Below are 21,777 nucleotides of genomic sequence, written 5' to 3'. Positions count from 1 at the left end.
GATGTGATCATGTGGTTGACAGTGCTTTAAAATTGGAGATATTTTACATGAAAGTCTCTATGGTTTCCATAGTCTGAAAAAAAATGTGACTATTTGGCCACTCTGGGTCAGCATGCTTTCATGATAGTTGTTCACTAGGTATTTTTGGTGGTTTGCCACAGATTGGTGTTTTTGTAAAAGATGGGGTTCTGGTTTCTGGCATGTTTTTGCAGTTCTGGCTTTCTGAATGGCTAATTAAGGATAGAGCCTTAATGCAGATACTCATGTGTATGTGTAGATACACATGTATATGCTAAAATATACACAAAATGCTGATGAATTGAATTTTCAAGGCCTTTAGCTGAATAACTATCCTAGGATACTTTAATGATGAAGGCTCCCATAAAATGAAATGTTTAGTGACTGGGAAAGTTTATCATTCTGAAGTTTGTAGATTCCTTAAAGAAAAATGGACATATTGTCTGTACTTTTAATGTATTTTTTTTCTTTTAGGTAAAATGAGCTTTTTTTTTTTTCTTGTAACCTTCAGCAAATATTTATAGACTTGCCTGAAGAAGTTTTTAATTCCTTTTTGAAATTAAAGATTGAGTTTTGTTGCTTATGTTTGGAATTTTAAGAGCATTAAGTAAATAGTATTCTTGTGAGTGTATGCAAAGTTTGTGTGCACTTTTTTTGGAGACATTATGGTCCATAACTCCCACTGTATTTTTATAGGGGAGTGATCACAAGCACATCGAAGCAAAGGACTGGGGCCATAGGAAATGAAGCAGCACTGAAGGGCCCTAAGCAGGATTCTGCAGTGGTGTGGGTTGAGGATTAGGAAAGTATGAGGGGTAGGAGACCTAGTAGGGGCCAGAAATGATGACGGCTCCAACCAGGATGAAAGATTACAGAGAGAGAAATCCTGTTTAGTTTTCGTGGAGTTTTAAGTAATCTAAGTACTTATGTTAATTATGAAACTGTGATACTGTGGCTGACAATATCCTCTTAATAAGCTACTATGTAGATTGAATTAGACAAAATGGTAAAATAGTCTCATAGCTCTCTGTAGGAAAAGAATCTTTAGTTGAATAAGCAGAAACCACTTTCCACCTTGTGATACATTAAAGCTTTAGGTGTCGGGTGCTTTAGGAACTGCAGAAGTGGTCTTGCCAATTGGAAAAGTAGTACTACCATAAGAATTTTGGATTATAGTTTCTTGGTAGTCATGAGAATGAAGGTTATATTAAAGTCCATACAATTATATGAAAATGAGTACATGCCCATCATTCTTTAAGGAAATCCCCTCCCTCTGTTGGTTGCCCTAAATAAGAGTTCTAATATACAGGGCTTTCCAATTTTTATAAATAACAACTGCCTGAACATTTTTGCACATAAACACATCCAGCCTGCTCAAGAATGGGTTTTCTAGAGTGCTCAGAGAACATAATCTTTTCAATGCTTGGGAGGTAGCATAAGAGAAGGGAGAGCAGAAGAAATATTCAGGTGCCAACTCAGTCTGTTTTACAGTTGGTTGTTGGCAAAATAAGGTCAGAGTTTGTTTCCAGCATGTTTTTGAAATTCCCCTTAGTGCAAACTTTTCCATGAAAACAATGTAAACTGTTAGGACCTCCAGGTAGAGCAGCAAAAACTCTAACACTAAACTGCTAATTTTGGGGTATATTTGGGTGACGAACCCATAACTATAGTAGTAAAGCTATCAGTTAATATTACTAAGTTCTCCCATTTTGCCAAGCACTTTGCAAAAATACTTTCGCATATGTTATTTTGTGTTAACCTCACCACAATCTTAGGAGATACATGATGGAATCCAGAATTAGAGATAGAAAGTAATTTGAATTTCAGGAGCTATCTTTTGAGTCCAAGTAATGTACCAAAGCTCATACTGTTCATCACCATTGTATATCCCACTTCACTGTTAAGTTACTATGATGATTATAAAAGATAAAGCGTATGTTATTTCTGATTATAAAATATATACTTAAAGTTAAACTTAGGAAATTCAAAAATGTGGAAATAAGGGGGAAAAAACCCCACCCACAGTCTTACCACTTATACACTTTTAACATAAACTTACCTGGATTCTGTAGGAAGTCATATTTACTAATATTTTTTAACAGCTGTGGGGCATTGTAGTCAGGATTTTGTAGAGGTATATCTTTGTTAATTTTTCTCCAGAAGTGTTTTTAAAGGTGAGAGTTTAATAATGTTTGGAAAAAATAAGAGAGAGCACATGTCAGATGACAAATGGATGGCACTGCCAGCAAGGGCTGTGAGGGTGCAAGCCGGCTTTTCTCTCCTGCTGGTCAGTGATTCTGTTCACCAGCTTAACAGACTAAGTTCTAGAGCAAAACACTTACTTATTACACATTGGTTCTCTATACTTCTTTTTGGGTTATCGTATGTTTATCCTTTTAAAAACGTCATAGAATTTTTCTTCTTCTTTTTTAATAATAAAGCTTTCTTGCTTGAAGAAAAGCCTCTTTGTATCCACCACAGCAGATGGAATGGCATTTGTACTTCTAAATTTTTCAGTAGTAGGAGTACCAAAATAGCACTAAAAATTAATTACTTTGATTACCTCCCCTCCCACCCAGTATTGGGAAAAGTCATAATTAAGTCTCCCTTCAAGGTAGTTCATTAGTTCTTGTATGTTAAAAAATCTGACCCTTAAATTAAATCTTCCTTTTGAGCTGCCTTTGTGTTTCCAGGACATGTTTAGCTGCACCTGCCTGCTATTCGGTCTCTTTCTTCACCAGAGTTATAAAATAAGAGGAAAAGGATTGTATTCTCTATTCAGAACTAGAGTTCTGTGGATAACTTGACAGCTTTCCATAAGTGTGAGTCTCCATATCTATAATCAAGTTGTAAGTTTGTGTTTAAACATTTTTCCCCCATATTTAGCCATGTCTCCTCCTTTGTATTGTTTTCTTCTACAAAAATGTTCTTGTAATAGTGTTTTACTTTTAATTCTGAGAAATTTATGACATTTTCTTTTTAAAAGTTATTCTCCACTTAAGTTAGAGATGTATACAGCATTAAAATGGATTGCAGATAAAGATATTTGTAAATGAGTGTTTCGGTTAAATGCTTTTCCAACTGAAGGTGGCATCTTGCCAACGAGAGGATAGCAGTTAGCCAACATGTTTTTTCTTCATGACTGTTTTTTCTTTGTTCAGGTGGAGTACATCCTGCTGCTTCAAGGGTAGAAGACTCCTCACTGCTTTCCTTCATGAGATTTCAAAGGAAGTGTTGGTTTTTTTTTTGCCTGGTTCAAGTATTGACCAAGAAGATGACAGTGATGTGGTCTCTTAGGTTTCAAAATTTCTACTTAAACATCTTGGTTCTAGTGATACGTACTTTGCAAAAATAATTCACAGTTATTATGACTTTTGTTAATATTCTGAAACTATGGTATTCAGAGATGATCCGTCAGGTTCTGATTAAGTTTCTTAGAAGCCCAGTGCACTGAAAAGATTATGGTGTGTCTTTTCTCTTCCTAGCAAAATGGAAAATGACAATACTGAAATGCAAACTAATAGAATACCAGCAAAAATTCTCATTGTTACTCATGGCTTCAAAAACTACATCAGATGCCTTAAAAAAAAATCCTCTTACTTCTTTTGGTACCTCATTTTTGTTGGTTTTCTAAGCATGTAGAAGGGGACCAGAGCATGCCACCCCAAAATATCCCACTTTTAGTGTAGGTGTTGTTTTAAGCTGAAGGCATTTAGTTTCCTGCCCTCCACCTTTCTGTCTAAAAGCAGGCTATCCATTTACATTTCTGAAAGTGTTCCGTACTAAAGAACCCCTATTTATTATACATTTCTAGTTATCTTCCCATGATTTGTACCTCCCTCAAAGTCCAGAACTTGTTTTCCTCAGTCTAGCCTTTTCCCCGTACTTTATCACCCTTTGTTAAGATGGTGTGTAAACCCAAATTTTAATCACCCTTTTGAGTTAACACTGAGTTCTCCTTTGTGTATGCACATTGCATGCATAGGTAAACTGCTTTTTTTCCCCCTCCTGTTAATCTTTTATCTGTTAAATTCAGGGACCCCAGCCACTGAATCTAAGAGGGTAGGGAAAGAGTGTTTTCCTCTCCAACAGTGTGCTTCATTTTTTTCCTGTTGGGTAATTCAACACTGACTCTCCCCAAAATTACACAGAAGAATTAAAGTAACACAGGAATGAAGAAGCGAACATAGATTTATCTGTCAGATGCATTTAAATAAAGTTATTTCTCTACAATTTCCTTGGTCTTTTGTATACTGTTATAATAAACTAGTAGGCAGCAGAAAATTTTTTTTGTGACAGAGTCTCGCTCTATTGTGCGAGACTGTGTGGCACAGTCTCGGCTCACTGCAACCTCTGCCTCTTGGGTTCAAGAGATTCTCCTGCCTCAGCCTCCCCAGTAGCTGGGATTACAGGTGCCCACCACCTGTAAAAATACCCGGCTAATTTTGTGTTTTTAGTGGAGATAGGGTTTCACTATGTGGGTCAGGCTGGCCTTGAACTCTTGACTTCAGGTGATCTGCCTGCCTCAGTCTCCCAAAGTGCTGGGATTACAGGCATGAGCCACAGCGCCTGGCTGGCAACAGGATTTTTGTTAAATAATCATCCTCTGTTGTCTCCAAGATTTTAGAAATCCCAGAAAACATGGAAACCTATGAAAATATGAACTTGACCTAAAGTATTTTGAATAATATTTATTGCTGTGGTTCTAGATGCTTCTAAAGTTTAGACTAGAGGATAGTTTTTATCTTTGTTAGGTCAGGATATTTAGCTGTGTAATAGTTTGGTTTTAAAGCTGTATGCTTTTTGACTTCTATTTAGGCTAAGAAGGCTTTTAGTCTTTCTTTTAGTGAAGAGGGTGTCCCTAGTCTGAGGGCATCTGTAGGCAGCATGTATCAATCAGTGATTGTAGCCCGGGGCCAGGGCAGCCCTGCGGTTTTCACAGTGGATTGTCTATATATCATCTGTTTCAAGATTCCTGTAGTCATGATACTAAAACGGAAAGGTGGACCAAATATTTTGTTTTTCAGTTTATCAGTTTTTCTTTGAGTCATCTAAGTAAGGCTCGGGATACTGTCTAATGGGAAATGAACAGTTAAGACAAAATCAGGGCAAGTCTTTGGGCAAGACAACTCTGTTTACTTTAGTATGCATACATGCATAGCCTGCCTTGTTCCAAAAAGGATTTAAGGTGGCACTGCTGTGCACTTTCTGTGGTTTATGGTCTGAGACTTATTTATAAATACAGTTACTAGTTTCAAATTGAAATGAATCTGGCTTCCAAATGGTGTGTAGTGTACTTACCCCAACAATGCTGCCATTGTACCCCAAGGTCTTCTTTAGGATTTGAATATGTTCATTGGTCATAAATCTTTATCCTTTGATGTTAGAATCAATTTTTGGAACCAGCTAAAAGTCATTAAGTGCCGAGTTTGGTGAATAACCTGGATAGGCAATCTGGGTTGTTAGAGCTTTTGGTTTATTGTTTTTGACTCATGGACTGTGAGCCAAAATAGGATGATGAAACTAGTTTCTAAGCCACAGTTAACTCCTTGTTAACATTCAGCAGTCTTGAACAATGGGTCCAATTGACTCTTGGTCTTGTGCTACATTAGCAGTGCCATTGAGATCAAATAAACAAGTTAACATTGTCCTCACTTGTGATTTTGAGATGGATGTTTTCTTGGGTTTGTAGTACAGCAAAGTATACCATTGCAAATTTCATGTTTTCAGGTCGTAATGAAAACTTTTGAAGTCAACTCTACCGATTTTCTCAAAATATTTCTGTTTTTTTCAGCTGTTAACAAAAGATCCAAAACAGTGAACAGGTTGTAACTGCTCTTTATCACTTGGTGAAAATTTCTTCCAAACGTTTTCACTAGCTTTTCACATAGTTTGACCCTCTGCCACATATTCGTGTGTTTTGTTTTTTTACTATGTAACCATTAAACTGTACGAATTGAGTTATTACTTTGACATCATTTTATAGATGAAGAAACAGGTTTACGAAAGATGAGACTTGATTTAAGGGATCAGAGATACTAAAGAGTCAAGATTCAAATCCCAGTTTTCTGGGTTTTTTTTCAGTGTATAATGCTGCCAGGATGGACATCAGCCATAACCTCCTTAATTTTCTTTTAGTAATATGAATTAATTTTCATATAAGAATATGAAAATTAAGAGCTCTTCCCTTTTATTTCCATAAATCTTGTGGATTTAATGCCACCCCTAATTAAATGTTAATTACTTTTTACTCAGGTCATTTTTTTTTTAATTATACTTTAAGTTCTAGGGTACATGTGCACAACGTGCAGGTTTGTTACATATGTATGTATGTGCCATGTTGGTTTGCTGCACCCATTAACTCATCATTTACATTAGGTGTTTCTCCTAATGCTGTCCCTCCCCCAGCTCCCACCCCACGACAGGCCCTGGTGTGTGATGTTCCCCGCCCTGTGTCCAAGTGTTCTCATTGTTCAATTCCCACCTATGAGTGAGAACATGCGGTGTTTGGTTTTCTGTCCTTGCAATAGTTTGCTCAGAATGGTGGTTTCCAGCTTCATCCATGTCCCTACAAGGGACATGAACTCATCCTTTTTTATGGCTGCATAGTATTCCATGGTGTATATGTGCCACATTTTCTCCCCCCCACCTTTTTTTTTGAGACGGAGTCTTGTTCTGTCGCCCAGGCTGGAGTGCAGCGGCGCAAACTAGGCTTGCTGCAAGCTCCGCCTCCTGGGTTCATGCCATTCTCCTGCCTCAGCCTCCCAAGTAGCTGGGACTACAGGCGCCCGCCACCATGCCTGGCTAATTTTTTTTTTTTCTTCAGAAAAGTAGGATTTCATTAAAATCAGTGTCTTCAACAATACAGAAATTAAATGTTAAGGCATCTTTTACTCCCATCCTGGTATATGCAAGAGAAATGTTTTAAGGAAGGGCCAGCATTTCTTACTAAAATGCTTTCTAGTGTATTTAGCAGATTTGTTTTTATATTCTCCTGTTCCACCTATCACTCAAAGCACTCATGATCACACATCTTGACCCAAATCAAGAGAAAAATATAAATAGATATTAATTTATTAAAGGGAAGCAGTTCACCTTTCAAAAATTAAAAGAAACTAGAAAAAGTATCATGTATAAAGTTCAAATACCAGCATTTAAATTTCTCTGAAGCAATTTACGGTTCAGTAATTAAGCAAAAGAAGAGATGAAGACTTTATTTAAGATAAGAAGCCTATTAATATGGATTGCACTATGGAGTAACTGTTCACTGAGTACTTGGCTCCACCAGGATGATAGTTTGAAAAGGGCTTCATACTCCTTTAAAAGACAGCACATCCACCAGGATAAGATCATATAAATTAACACTGATTCTTATTCCACATGCCTGTCCATTTACAAAGCTCAAGAGGCTTCATAAAGTATACTAAACTGTAACATTTTCACCTTTTATTAAGGCAAGTTTGTGAAAATAATTTAATACAACTGGATCTCTTCATGAACTTTCAACTTACAACCTTTTTAATGTAAGAAACATACAAAAATTATTTTATAAAAAGCCACCTCAATACCAGAAAATGGTAATGAAAGATTTTGAACCCAGTTTTACTTTTTAAAGAATGCTCTTTCCTTGTCTCAAATTCCAAGTGCTACTCATCATCCTTAGAGCCAGTTTTGCTTAAATGCTTCACAACATCAACCCAGTTCCAGCCTCGAGGAAGTTCTCCTTTGTGATCTGTTTTGTCTGCCAGCTTACGCTTCTGGGCTTTTGAAAGTTATTCTTTTTTGTCTTTTTTCTTACTTGATGGGGCTGTATTAGGAGTTTCAATTGAGATGATATTGCTTATCGATGTTGTGGAATTAATGGGATTGTGATTCTCCATGAACTGCTCTTATTGTCTTTGGCATATTCAAACAATGTACAGGTCATAGCGGTTCCAAGATTAGCTTCTACTGCTTCCTGTAACTTGGCTAATATACTCTGCTTTACAGCTGATGATACGGTGTTGTTAAAAAAAAAGCGTTCATAGATAGAATTGGAGGTGTTTGGGGATATGTTTCTGTCCAGGAAATCTCTATTAAGAAGGCTTTGGGATCACCATTTTCACCTATCCTATATTGAAAAGAAACTGAACTTAATTCCCGGAAACTTTCATCTCCTTCATAAATAGAGCGTAATGCTTCTAGTTCCATCTCCTGGTCCTCGTTGGCACTCGTCACACCGGTTGCGGGGCGCCTCCTGAGTGGACGGTGCTTGCAACAACGAAGACAAAGCGAGGGCAGCGGCCCAGAGGCCCGGCGACCCCCTTTGGCGCCTTGGTTGTGGGGGCGGCACAGTCTTGGCACTGGCAGGTGCCAATCGTGCGTGCCCCTGGCCTCGGCAGCGCCCAGCTGCCAGCGGTGGGCTGTGGGCTCGGACCCGGAGCCGCGGCTTTTTTTTTTTTTTTTTGTATTTTTAGTAGAGACGGGGTTTCACGTGTTAGCCAGGATGGTCTTGATCTCCTGACCTCATGATCCGCCTGCCTCGGCCTCCCAAAGTGCTGGGATTACAGGCGTGAGCCACTGCGCCCAGCCAAGTGGCACATTTTCTTAATCCAGTCTATCATTGATGGACATTTGGGTTGGTTCCCAGTCTTTGCTATTGTGAATAATGCCGCAATAAACATACATGTGCATGTGTCTTTATAGTGGCATGATTTATAATCCTTTGGGTATATACCCAGTAATGGGATTGCTGGGTCAAATGGTATTTCTAGTTCTAGATCCTTGAGGAATCGCCACACTGTCTTCCACGACGGTTGAACTAGTTTACAGTCCCACCAACAGTGTAAAAGTGTTCCTGTTTTCTCCACATCCTCTCCAGCACCTGTTGTTTCTTGATATTTTAATGATCGCCATTCTAACTGGTGTGAGATGGTATCTCGTTGTGGTTTTGATTTGCATTTTTTTGATGACTAGTGATGATGAGCATTTTTTCATGTGTCTGCTAGCTGCATAAATGTCTTCTTTTGAGAAGTGTCTGTTCATATCCGTTGCCCACTTTTTGATGTGGTTGTTTGATTTTTTTCTTGTATATTTGTTTAAGTTCTTTGTAGATTCTGGATATTAGCCCTTTGTCAGATGGGTAGATTGCAAAAATTTTCTCCCATTCTGTAGGTTGTACTCAGGTCATTTTTAATTTTATACTGACATGAAGCTTAGATGTGCATTAATTTCCATTAGTTGTATTTTGGCCTTGAAAATGGTTACAGTACAAATGAAAATATTACAATACATTCCTCCTGTGGCTATTCTTCTGTTTCCATAAGTCGTGGCAGAAAATCAGTTTTGTTTTATAGTCACATTTGTGTTTGTGTTGAAATATTAGTATATCCCAGCCATGATGTCAGATGTATAACTATACAAGTCACACAAGTTTTCTATGTGCACATAGTGTTCTAAATATGTATATATATACTTTTTTTTTTTTTTTTTTTTTTTTGAGATGGAGTCTCGCTGTCTCTTGCCCAGTCTGGAGTGCAGTGGCGTGATCTTGGCTCACTGTAGCCTCTGCCTCCCGAGTTGAAGCAATTCTCCTGTCTCACCCTCCTGAGTAGCGGGGCCTACAGATGCACGCCATGTATTGTATCTGTACATGGTGATGCCCGGCCAATTATTGCTAATACTGTGTTTTAAAAATTAATTTGTACATTTGAATTAAGTTGAAGCATAAAGAATTTCTCTGTTAAATATTTATTATATTTAATTTTTGATGGGCACTTCATATGCTTGTGACTGGAAGGAATGATTTTTATTTTGGAAATATTTTAGATCTATGTATTGTTTGTTTTGTATTCTTTTTTGAGATGGAGTCTCTCTCTGTCACCCAGGCTGGAGTGCAGTGGCGCGATCTCGGCTCACTGCAACTTACGCCGCCTGGGTTCAAGCGATTCTCCTGCCTCAGCCTCCCAGGTAGCTGAGATTACAGGCACCCTCCACCACACCTGGCTAATTTTTGTATTTTTTGGTAGAGATGGGATTTCACCATGTTAACCAGGCTGGTCTAGAACTCCTGACCTCAGATGGTCTGCCTGCCATAGCCTCCCAAAGTGCTGGGATTACAGGTGTGAGCCACGGCACCAGGCCTCATCCCATTACATTCTAAAGATTGTGTCAAAATGAGTTATGCTTCTTGTGAGGTGATGGGACCGTTATATCTCTCCAGTGTCTGTGGTACAACAGACTAAAAGATGAATATATTTAATTTCTTAATGTTTCTTTTGCTAATTTTCCTTAGCTAGCAATATATGTGTTAGCTTTAGTGTCTTTTTAGGTTCAGATTATTTTTGGTAGACCTTAAAAAATGAGAAGATAAAGGATATCCGAAAGAAGCCTTAAGGTAGATCCTTTACTTGGAAGTATCAGGCTCTTCCACCTGACTCCACTCATAATAAAAAATGAAAACAAAAGTGGTTGACGTAGCAAAGATTTTAACTTTTAAAGCTTGATAGAGCTTTGCAGGTTTAGGAAGATAACTTCCCAGTCTTCAGATTGGGATGGTGAGACTGTGTGGCCCCACCTCCATGCAGGCCATGCAGAACACAGGACTGTAGAGAAACAGAGGCTCATTCTCAGTTCCAACAGGAGGAAGAGTGCCCACTGGGCAGCCAGTCCTGTTAGGGCAAGGAGCAGCCCTTCTGGAGACATGGCAGATCTTAACGTTTCAGTGCATATGGATGGGGGAGGGTGTTCTGGGGCTGGTGGAACGTAGAGGGCATTCATGGTGGTGAAAGTGGGATGTAGGAGAGGGTTTGGGTGATGATGGATAACTGGGTTCACTGTGTGCTAACTGAGCTGAACAGAGTATGAGGCGTTGGCCTACATTGTCTCCCTGGAAAGACTGCTGTCACAGGTTCTCTTGCTGGCATTGTGATGCAGGGCTGCGTGAAGCCCTCCTTACAGCGGGAGGTGGGCTCTGTTGGAGTGGGCCCTGTGCCTCTGCTGTCTCCTACTGCTAACGTGAGGCATCAGCTGAGGAGGGATGGGGATGAACTATTTTAGGCAGGGGGTTGCAGTATAATCTGAGCCATGCTATCCTATGGGGCCTTTTTATTTGATACTTTTGTTTGCTTTTCCTTTTTGTAAGAGATACCATCTTGCTGTGTTGCCCAGGCTGGCCTCAGACTCCTGGTCTCAAGCAGTCATCTCACAATTTAGCAGTTTCTTAGAGTCAGACACTATATGACCTACTCCTGGGTATTTACCTAAGTGAAACAGAAACTTAGGTTCAGAAAAAAAACCTATATGTAACTGCTTGTAGCAGCATTTCTTTTTTAACAGTTAAGAAAAATGTGGGCTTTTCAAATTTCCCTAATTGGTGAATGGATAAACAAACTCTGATACATCCATAACAATGGAATACTACTCATCAGTTAAAAAATATACTACTACTAATACATGCAGCAAGTGGATGCATCTTTAAAGGCATTATGTTAAGTGAAAGAAGCTAGACTCAAAAGCATACAGACTCTGGGAAACACATCAGTAGTTGCCAAGAGGTAGAGGTGGGAGAGGAGTTGGTTGTAGTGTGGCAATGGGGAATTTTTTGAGTGTTGGAACTCTTCTATATTTTGGTTGTGGTAGTGGTTACACAACTGTGTCAAAACTTACCCAGCTGAACATGAAAAAGATGAATATTACTGTATATAAAAATTACAGGCCAGGCGTGGTGGCTCACGCCTGTCATCCCAGCATTTTGGGAGGCTGAGGTGGGCAGATCACGAGGTCAGGAGTTCGAGACCAGCTTGGCCAACATGGTGAAAACCCGTCTCTACTAAAAACACAAAAATTAGCTGGGCATAGTGGCGCATGCCTGTAATTCCAGCTACTTGGGAGGCTGAGGCAGGAGAATTGCTTGAACCCAGGAGGTGGAGGTTGCAGTGAGCTGAGATGGTGCCACTGCACTCCAGCCTGGGTGACAGAGTAAGACTCCGTCTCAAAAAAAAAAAAAAAAAAAAAATTTACAGCTTAATTAAAGATGAAAATAAAACAAAAGTAATTAATGTAACAAAGATTTTGTTAATTGTTAAAGCTTTATAGAGCTTTGTAGGTTTGGGGAAGAGAACTTGCCAGATTGTGATAATCTCGGAAGACCTTTTAGGTAATTGTAGCGTGGACCTTCTGTATGTCTAAAATGGTAAACGGTGTGCCTTATCTTTTATAGGAGTGAACAACCAAGGCGATGGGCTGTAGGATGTTGATACATCTGAGGGGCCAGATGGCCACCATATCAGGGAAAGCCAATGTGTTTTGAAAAATATGCAAATGTTCAATAAGGTAACATTAAGTACAATTTATAGTGAAAACGTGATAGCTGTATTCTACCTGTGTTTCCAGCACTTGTGATCACTGTGATTTATGGACCACAGATCTGTGTCTGTGTCACTTCATTCAGTGTATTTATTGAACACCATGTAAAACTAAAGGTCTTTGATTGGCAATTGGTTTGCTGTTTCTAACAGCTTGTTTTTACTTTATATTCCAAAAGTAATCGCAAAAAATGCAGTTTCTTTTGCACCAACCTAATAAAATTGACCCATGTTTATTTCAGTTTGAGAATTTTATCATACCTGTGAGTTACTGTTATTGACAATTCCCTAGAGTATTGTCCAGTAGATGGGTGAGGGGAGTTCACTAAGTATTCTTAGTGTCTAGTTTGTAATTAGTTTATGAGACTTAAAACCCCACCACACATTATTCTGAACCTGCTGTAAATATTATGAGAGGCAGTATGTATAGTTGCCTCTGGAGCTGGAGTGCCTGGATTTGTTTTCCAGCTTTACCATTTGCTAGCTGTATGACCTTGGGCCAAGCTATTTAACCTCTCTGCTTTAGTTTTCTCTTCTGTAAAAGAGGGTTGATAATGACAGTGTCTACTCCATGGAGGGTTTGTGTGGATTAAATGAGCTAATAAGTAGTAAGCCCCCACAACAGTACCTGGCACATAGTAAGCTCTATTAGTGTTTTTCTTCTGTGTCAGTTAATAGCCTCATAGGCTTTCCTCAGATATTTAAATACATGAATGCCTATGATGCCATCTCTCCTTTGGCTTCCTGAAATCAGATTTCCTTAGTTCTTGTAAAGCCAGTGGACTTCCATTGTATTTTCTTTCCTCTCCTGTTTCACTGTAATTCCTCTAAGTTATACTTTATTATACATTTGAATTTTAGGAAATATGCTTGATGCATTTGGAATCTTTTTTCTAAAGACTTTTTTTTAAAATCTTATACACTAACTGGAAATAATTTGTTACATTTTTTTCCTTTTGTGTTCAGAGGCTCAAAACTATTTCATTTGCCTTAAGAAATATGAGTCAAAACTATTTATCTCCTAAGTTAGGAGGCTAGGAAGGCCAAGATTCAGAAAAGTTGGTAAATTAAGAGGACTGAATACTAGAAATCAAAAGAACATCCACTTTCTTGCTTCTCTGTGTATGATATTACTTTTGTAAAATTGTGTGTCTTTTATAGAGAAAAGTACTCTTAGCACAAAGCTGATTGTTTTTGTGAAGAGTATTTTGAAGATGCCTGTTGAAAAGCACTTGTGGAGTAGTTTATGGAAACAGCTGTGAGATTGCACAAAGTATTCTTGTACTCTTCAGAGCCATTCTTTAGTAGGAGAAAATAAGGTCCATATTTTAAGCTTGATGATAGCAAGCCATTTATTAGCAACCCAGTTTAACCCCACACTTTTCTCCTTTTGGGGTTAAATTGGGTAGTATTCATTAGAAGTACTTCAAGAAACCATGAACTCATTTGCTAGCAGTGTTTATATCCTGTATACTGAGAATTTGAGGTGACTTTTATAGCCATTCTTAATCCTCAGTATCTGTCATTGTGGAACCTGAACCCTGTGTGTCTAATGTTATCCAAGAGAAATATTGTGTGAGCCACTAGTGTACTTTCAAATTGTGGTAAAATGTATATCCCATAAAACCATCTTAACCACATTTTTGAAGTGTGCAGTTCAGTTGCATTAAGTACATTCATATTGTTTTGTAACCGTGACCACTGTTTTTAGAAATTTTTCATTTCAAACAGAAACTCTGTACCCATTAAACAGCAACTCCCCATTTTCCCTTCCTGGCCCCTGGTAACTACTGTTCTACCTTTTGTCAATGAAATTTGCTTATTCTCGCTACCACATATAAGCAGAGTTAAACAATACTTTACTTAGCATAATGTTTTCAAGGTTTATCCATCTTGTAGCATGTGTCATACTTCATTCCTTTTAGTGGCTGAATAATACTCCATTGTATGTTTATATAATTTTATAATGCATTTAGTTTAACACATCCAAGATAGTCTTATTCATGTAATTAGTATGAAATATTAATTTACATAAAAATATTTATATAATATGTAAATTTATATGAATTTGTAACATAAAACAAACATTAAAATATATTAAAACGTTATATAAATATGTAAAGATAGATTAAATATTAAATATTAATAAAATATTTTCATTCAATTTTTTTTTTTTTTGAGACGGGTTCTCGCTCTGTCACCCAGGCTGGGGCACAGTGGCGCAGTTTGGCTCACCGCAGCCTCTGCCTCCTGGGTTCAAGCGATTCTCGTGCCTCAGCCTCCTGAGTAGCTGGGACTACAGGCGCATGCCACCACACCTGGCTGATTTTTTTTGTTTTTAGTAGAGACAGGGTTTCGCCATGTTGGACAAGCTGGTCTCGAACTCCTGACCTCAGGTGATCCACCTGCCTCGGTTTCCCAAAGTGCTGGGATTAGAAGTGTGAGCCACCACTCCCGGCCTATTTTGTATTTTTTAAAGAAAACTAATATTTGCCAAAAGACATATTATTAGAGAAGATTCTGGGCATCAGCCATAGAAAAACAGGATTAGAAAATGACTAAGGGTTGGGTGCGGTGGCTCACACCTGTAATTCCAGCTCTTTGGGAGGCCAAGGTGGGCAGATCAGTTGAGGTCAGGAGTTCGTTACCAGTCTGGCCAACATGATGAAATCCTGTCTCTACTAAAAATAGAAAAATTAGCCAGGCATGGTGGTGCGCGTCTATAATCCCAGCTGCTTGAGAAGCTGAGCAGGAGAATTGCTCGAACCTGGGAGGCGGAGGTTGCAATGAGCTGAGATTGTGCCACAGCACTCTAGCCTGAACACAGAGACTCCATTTCAAAAAAACAAAACAAAACAAAACAAAACAAAACAAAAAAACAGCAACAACAAAAAAGAAAGATCCAGGCATAGCTTTCCCTTCGTTTCAAACCTCACAAGGGATGGTAGCCTTTAAAGGAACAAACAGTTACTGTGAATTTTTTTTCACCAAAACCTCTGAAGAGACGGTTTAGGGAACTGGATCGACAAAATTTTATTGGATTCATACCTTGCTAAATACAGTGCTGGTAAACAATAGGTACCTAACATTTGAATACAAAATGTTGAATACTGAGTAGAGCTCGAAGAGAAATTTGCAGAGGGTGCTGTGAAACTGGATAAAAGAACTTTTGTTCAAACTGCGGAACTTCTTTTTCCCAGTTCCATTCATTGAACTTTGGGGATTGGGCCTGATTATGCCAGGCATTCTCTTAACCCTTCTGGTTGTCAGGAACTAGGGGCACATGGGTACAGGTATGGACTAGAGATGCCCACTGGCAGCCCTTTGGGATTTGGCTATGTTGTATGTTGTATCACTCCGAGGGATTGGATTAGGTGTGCCCCCTGACCCCGGTGCAGGCAGTTCACAGATAGTCCAGCAACCTTGTGGATGGTGTAGCCTGGCTGGAAAAGATAAACTGGGATAATGCTTTCCTTGCCTCAGGAATTTGAATTTCTAAGAGATTAGGTCAGTTCAATGGGGATAGCATTGTAGATACTAAAAGCATTGACTTATAGTGAAAGATCTGGGGCCCAGTTCTGGGTTTGTTACTTACTTAGCTAGGTAACATTGGACATATCTTATCTTGCAGGGTTTCACCTCCTTTTCTTACCTCTAAAATGGAAATGAGGCCAGGCATGGTGGCTCACGCCTGTAATCCCAACCCTTTGGGAGGCTGAGGTGGGTAGATCACCTGAGGTCAGGAGTTTGAGACCAGCCTGGCCAACATGGTGGAAACCCGTCTCTACTAAAAATACAACAATCAGCCGAGTGTGATGGTGGGTTCCTGTAGTCCCAGCTACTCAGGAGGCTGAAGTATGAAAATCACTTGAAACCCGGGGCGGGGTGGGGGGTGGAGGGGGAAGGTTGCAAAGACTCTGTCTCCCACCCCCCCACAAAAAAGGAAATGATATTTGTATCTACCTAATACTGATTTTATGAGGATGAAGATATGTAACATCTTGCCAAATTCTAGAGTGGTAGTTGTCACCATAATACAAAGCAACAGTTAGTGTTGTAACCATCATATAAAGGAGCCTGGCATACTTGGCATACTTTTTTTTTTTCTTTTTTTGAGATGGAGTTTCACTCATGCAGTGGTGCGATCACTACAACCTCCACCTCCCTGGTTCAAGCAGTTATCTTGCCTCAGCCTCTTGAGTAGCTGGGATTACAGGCATCCACCACCATGCCCGGCCAATTTTTGTATTTTTAGTAGAGATGGGGTTTCGCCATGTTTGCCAAGCTGGTCTCGAACTCCTGACCTCAGGTGATCCGCGCCCCCCTCCCTCCTCCCCCTTGGCCTCCCAAAGTGTTGGGATTACAGGCGTGAGCCACCACGCCTGGCCAAGCCTGGCATACTGTTATGTTCCACTTGGAAGCTACAGTTGTAGAGCTAATCACTTGGGAAAGAATCAAGGAGATGCTCAAACAGAAGCAGATGTACTATGGCAATGGAACCCTCAAGAGAGAGAGCAGGAGTAGAACTGTCTTTATAAGAACCTGATGTAGAACTCATAAACATTCAAGTGCCATAGATGGTTTAAGGAAAACTTTATGAACAGTGTGGGAAACTACCATTTATAGTTTTCTCAACAGGATCAAATCAGCCAATTAGAAGGGTACACAGATGGCAACATAAGGCAATAGTCTGTCTGTAAGGAATAAAACAGAAAAACAATAGCAAGCAAAAAGCGCTGTCCCAATATGGCACCATTGGTGCAGAAGTAGCAGATCTTCAGGTGCGTTTCAGAGGCCCTGAGAATATCTGAGTAGTGCCAATAAGGAAAAGCCTGGAGTTAGCCAAGAAACTTTATATTATGCTCTTTTTTTTTTTTTTTTTTTTTTTTTTGAGAGTCTTACTCTATCGCCCAGGCTGGAGTGTAGTGGCACGTCTCACTGCAACTTCTGCCTCCCAGGTTTAAGCGATTCTCTTGCCTCAGCCTCCTGAGTAGCTGGGATTACAGGCATATGCCGCCACACCCAGATAATTTTTGTATATTTTGTAGAGATGGGGTTTTGCCATGCTGGCCAGGCTGGTCTCGAACTCCTGACCTCAGATGATTGGCCCGCCTCGGCCTCCCAAAGTGCTGGGAATTACAGGTGTGAGCCACCACACCCAGCCTAATTTACTTTTTAACCAGACATGAATAGTTCAATTTAGGATGGCTTAAATAAAGTTAAGATAGGTAACCTTTCAACTCATGAACATATGACTGTCAAGAATCATTGATTCCTTGAAGTGTTGGTAGCTGAGGCTCATGTGTATTTCAGAGAAGGAAATATGGAAGGGAACACGTGAGAGCAACGGGAAAACTAGGAGGTGACTAGGCCATCATTTTGGGATAAACAGCATTCCATTTTGCTTTGGCACATCTTTCAGTTATTCTTCTGTTTAAAATATTTGAAAATTGTGAATTTTTAAATGTATTTAATACAGGAAATTATAAGCATAAAGAATAATAAAATAGTCAATCCCTAACTTGAGAAATGGAATGCTACCACAAGTAGAGATATTTTTTCTTTATATTCATGCTGTTAATTTTTCCTCTCGCTTTACTTTCTGTATGTTTTTTATTTTCTCTGCCTTTATTTTATTTATTTGAGACCCCCTCCCCCTGAAAAAAAATCTCGTTCTGTTGCCCAGGCTGGAGTGCAGTGGTGCCATCTTGGCTCAGTGCAGCCTCTGCCCCCTGGGTTCAAGCAATTCTTGTGCCTCAGCTTCCCGAGTAGCTGGGACTATAGGCGTGCGCCACCATGCCCGGCTAATTTTTTGTGTTTTTAGTAGAGATGGGGTTTCACCATATTGGCCAGGCTGGTCTCAAACTCCTGAACTCAAGTGATCCACCTGCCTCGGCCTCACAAAGTGCTGGGATTACAGGTGTGAGCCACTGTGCCCAGCCTCACAAAGTGCTGGGATTACAGGTGTGAGCCACTGTGTCCGGCCTTCCCTCTGTCTTTAAAGAAAGTAGTCTCAGTCCAAATGTCAGACAGAGTTAGGCTTTAGAATAAGGAAAAAGTTGGGCACTTTAGGTGAGTGAAAATACTTTGGCAAGTACAGGCATACCTCATTTTATTTCTGCCCTACTTAAAAGTGACATATCTTTGTATGGCCCAGAAAGTGCTCTGGGAACAGGCCCCTGCCATCATCTCTGGCTTCATTTCTTACCAGTACCGACTTAAGTCCTGCCAGCCACCAAAACCACTCAGATGGTGCACATGATAGGTTCTCTGTAGCTTTGGATGTGCCATTTTTTGTTTAGAATGGTCCCAGTCTTCATTTCTTTTTTTTTTTTTTTTTTTTTGAGACGGAGTCTCGCTCTGTCGCCCAGGCCGGACTGCGGACTGCAGTGGCGCAATCTCGGCTCACTGCAAGCTCCGCTTCCCGGGTTCACGCCATTCTCCTGCCTCAGCCTCCCGAGTAGCTGGGACTACAGGCGCCCGCCACCGCGCCCGGCCAATTTTTTGTATTTTTAGTAGAGACGGGGTTTCACCTTGTTAGCCAGGATGGTCTCGATCTTCTGACCTCATGATCCACCCGCCTCGGCCTCCCAAAGTGCTGGGATTACAGGCGTGAGCCACCGCGCCCGGCCTTCATTTCTTCATTTGGCAAAGTCATTCTAAATTTCATAGCTGGTAGTATAGACGTGTGCCACCACATTTGGCTACATTTTGTATTTTTTGTTGAGACAGAGTCTGCGTGTGTTACCCAAGCTGGTCTGGATCTCCTGGCCTCAAATAATCCTTCCACCTCAGCCTCCCAAAATGGTGGACTTACAGATGTGGCCCGACCTATACTTCATTTTGTTGCACTTTGCTAATATTGTGGTTTTTGTTTTTGTTTGTTTTTTTGAGACAAGGTCTTGCTCTGTCATCCACACCTGAGTGCAGTGGCGCAGTCTCCGCTCACTGTGAACTCCGCCTCCTGGGCTCAAGTGATCCTCCTACCTCAGCCTTCTGGGTAGTAGCTGGGACCACAGGTGTGTGCCACCATGCCTGGCTAATTTTTTATATATATTTTTTGTTTGTTTGTTTGTTTTATAGAAACAGGCTTGCACCATGTTGTCCAGGCTGTTTTTTTTTTAATACAAATGGAAATTTTGTGACAACTACATCTTGCAAATCTGTTTGTGCCATTTTTTTTTTTTTTTTGAAGAGCCTGTGTCTCTGTGTTAGTTTGGTAATTCTTGAAGTATTTCAGAAGTTTTCATTGTATATCTGTGATTATAGTGATCTGTGATGAGTGATCGTTGCTGATAATATGGTAATTGTTTTGGGGTTCTAAGAACTGTGCTCATATAAGACAGTGAGTTTAGTTGATACATGCTGTGTGTGTTCTGACTGCTCCACTGACCTGTACTCTGTCTCTCTCCCTCCTCTTTGGCCTTCCTACTTCCTGCGACACAACAGTATTGAAATTAAGCTAATTCATAATCCTACAATGTTCTGTGAGTATTTAAGTGAAAGGAAGAGTTACACATCTCACACTTTAAATCAAAAGTAAGAAATGATTAAGCTTAGTGAGGAAGGCATGTCAGAGGCTGAGAAGGAGGAAAGCTAGACCTCTTATGACAAACAATTAGACAAGTATGAATGCAAAGGAAAAATTTTTGACGGAAATTTAAAGTGTTACTTCAGTGAACACAAATGATAAGAAAGCAAAACACCCTTATTGCTGATATGGAGAAAGTCTGAATGTTGGGTATGGATAGAATATCAACCAGTGAATAATTAGTGTGAATAATTTATATTTTTATGATCACTTTAATGATAGGTCTTGCTATGTTGCTCAGACTGGCTTTGAATTCCTGGGCTCAAGAGATCCTCCTGCCGCAGCTTCCCAGAGTGCTGCCGCACACTTAATAGTCTATGGTATCATATAAACAGAACTTGTATATGCACTGGGAAACCAAAAAATTTGTGTGACTTTCTTTATTGAGGTGGTCTGGAATTGAACCTGTGATATCCTGGAGGTATGTCTTTATTTTTAAGTATACACTGAGAGTGATTTTGTTATTACATAATGATGTGACTGGAAGGAAGTTATTTTTTATTTTTTTTTTATTTATTTTTTTTGAGACAGAGTCTTGTTCTGTCGCCCAGGCTGGAGTGCAGTGGCGCCATCTCGGCTCACTGCAAGCTCCACCTCCTGGGTTCACGCCAGTCTCCTGCCTCAGCCTCCCAAGTAGCTGGGACTACAGTCTCCTGCCACCATGCCCGGCTAATTTTTTTTTTTTTTTTTTTTTTTTGTGCTTTAAGTAGAGATGGGGTTTCACCATGTTAGCCAAGACGGTCTCGATCTCCTGACCTTGTGATCTGCCTGCCTCGGCTTCCCAAAGTGCTGAGATTACAGGCGTGAGCCTCCGCACCTGGCTGGAAGTTATTTTTTAAAAAAAGGAAAACTAGAATTTCTGAAAGCTTCGTTATTGAGAGATTTTATACTTACCTCTTTATTGTGGTAGCCCTTTTGTGGTACGCAGCAGCTTCCTAAGTCAGTGTCTAGACATTTGGCTCCAGTTTCTTTAGCACATGTCTTCCTCCTCTGCATGGTCCAGGAGAAGAGCATCTGGGAGGATGGCTCTACTTATAGACTTGGAGTTTTTATCCTATATTTTTATCATGTGATTCTCTGTTTCTAACAGCAGTATCTTCTGTAAGCATACTCCACCCATTTCGCAGTAGAAACTTGTTATTTTTTGGGCTGCTTAATTAATATGTTTTTATATATTTTTTTTGTTGTTGTTTATTTGAGATGGAGTCTTGCACTTTGCACTGTCGCTCGGGCTGGAGTGCAATGGCGCATTCTTGGCTCACTGCAACCTCCGCCTCCCGGGTTCAAGTGATTCTCCTGGCTCAGCCTCCCAAGTAGCTGAGATTACAGGTGCCCGCCACCACGCCCAGCTAATTTTTTATATTTTTAGTAGAGATAGGGTTCACTGTGTTGGCCAGGCTGATCTCAAACTCCTGATTTCGTGATCCACCCGCCCTACCTCCCAAAGTGCTGGGATTACAGGCATGAGCCACCCCACCTGGCCTTGTTTGTTTGTTTACTTACTTATTTATTTATTTTAAGTTCAGTGATTTATTTTAGCAATTTTGTTATGTTGTAAGATCCTACTATGGGTGGAAATAGAAGGGACAGACTGAATTTAAGTTTTTAACGCTAGTCTCTTTAGAATGCCAGTTGTACAACTTCCATAAGACTTCCTTTTTAAATGATAGAATAGTGTGAGAAGAATTTAGTTGTTATTTTTTTCCTTTAATATAACACTCTCAGAATCCCAACAGAGCATTGCTTTGACCTTGATTAAAGTGTGAATTTTATTTAAAAGTGAAAATTGGCATTTTGGAGGCTATTTATAATGGTGTGATGGCA

General features: G+C 39.9%; 1 protein-coding gene and 1 pseudogene across 29 annotated transcripts in view, besides 2 other annotated features; one reads left to right on the top strand and one right to left on the bottom strand.

Annotated features, from left to right (window-relative positions):
- The window catches only part of SRPK2 (SRSF protein kinase 2), a 284,618-nt gene that overhangs the window by 89,607 nt on the left and 173,234 nt on the right, over positions 1-21,777 (top strand). For 3 of the 29 annotated variants that reach the window (XM_047420774.1, NM_001278273.2, XM_006716098.4), the window contains exons 1-2: positions 10,972-11,013; positions 12,218-12,330. The exons of 25 other annotated variants lie outside the window; for them this stretch is intronic. The gene's annotated coding sequence lies outside the window, so the exon portion shown is untranslated. Of the gene's footprint in view, positions 1-10,971; positions 11,014-12,217; positions 12,331-21,777 lie in introns of those variants that run through there. One more of the 29 variants, XM_047420772.1, reaches the window with a different exon arrangement.
- RWDD4P1 (RWD domain containing 4 pseudogene 1) lies at positions 7,468-8,429 on the bottom strand (annotated as a pseudogene).
- Positions 11,437-11,576: an enhancer, noted in NCBI's record as "active region_26460". NCBI's record gives its function as "activates an Ori minimal core promoter by ATAC-STARR-seq in GM12878 lymphoblastoid cells {active_cell/tissue: GM12878}" and the evidence as "EXISTENCE:reporter gene assay evidence [ECO:0000049][PMID:35858748]".
- Positions 19,710-19,879: an enhancer, noted in NCBI's record as "active region_26459". NCBI's record gives its function as "activates an Ori minimal core promoter by ATAC-STARR-seq in GM12878 lymphoblastoid cells {active_cell/tissue: GM12878}" and the evidence as "EXISTENCE:reporter gene assay evidence [ECO:0000049][PMID:35858748]".

This window comes from Homo sapiens, chromosome 7 (assembly GCF_000001405.40).
Source record: "Homo sapiens chromosome 7, GRCh38.p14 Primary Assembly".
In the NCBI taxonomy this organism is placed as follows: Eukaryota; Metazoa; Chordata; class Mammalia; order Primates; family Hominidae; genus Homo; species Homo sapiens.
The sequence above is the reverse complement of the archived record's forward strand: the minus strand, read 5'-3'. Positions and strand labels throughout refer to the sequence as shown.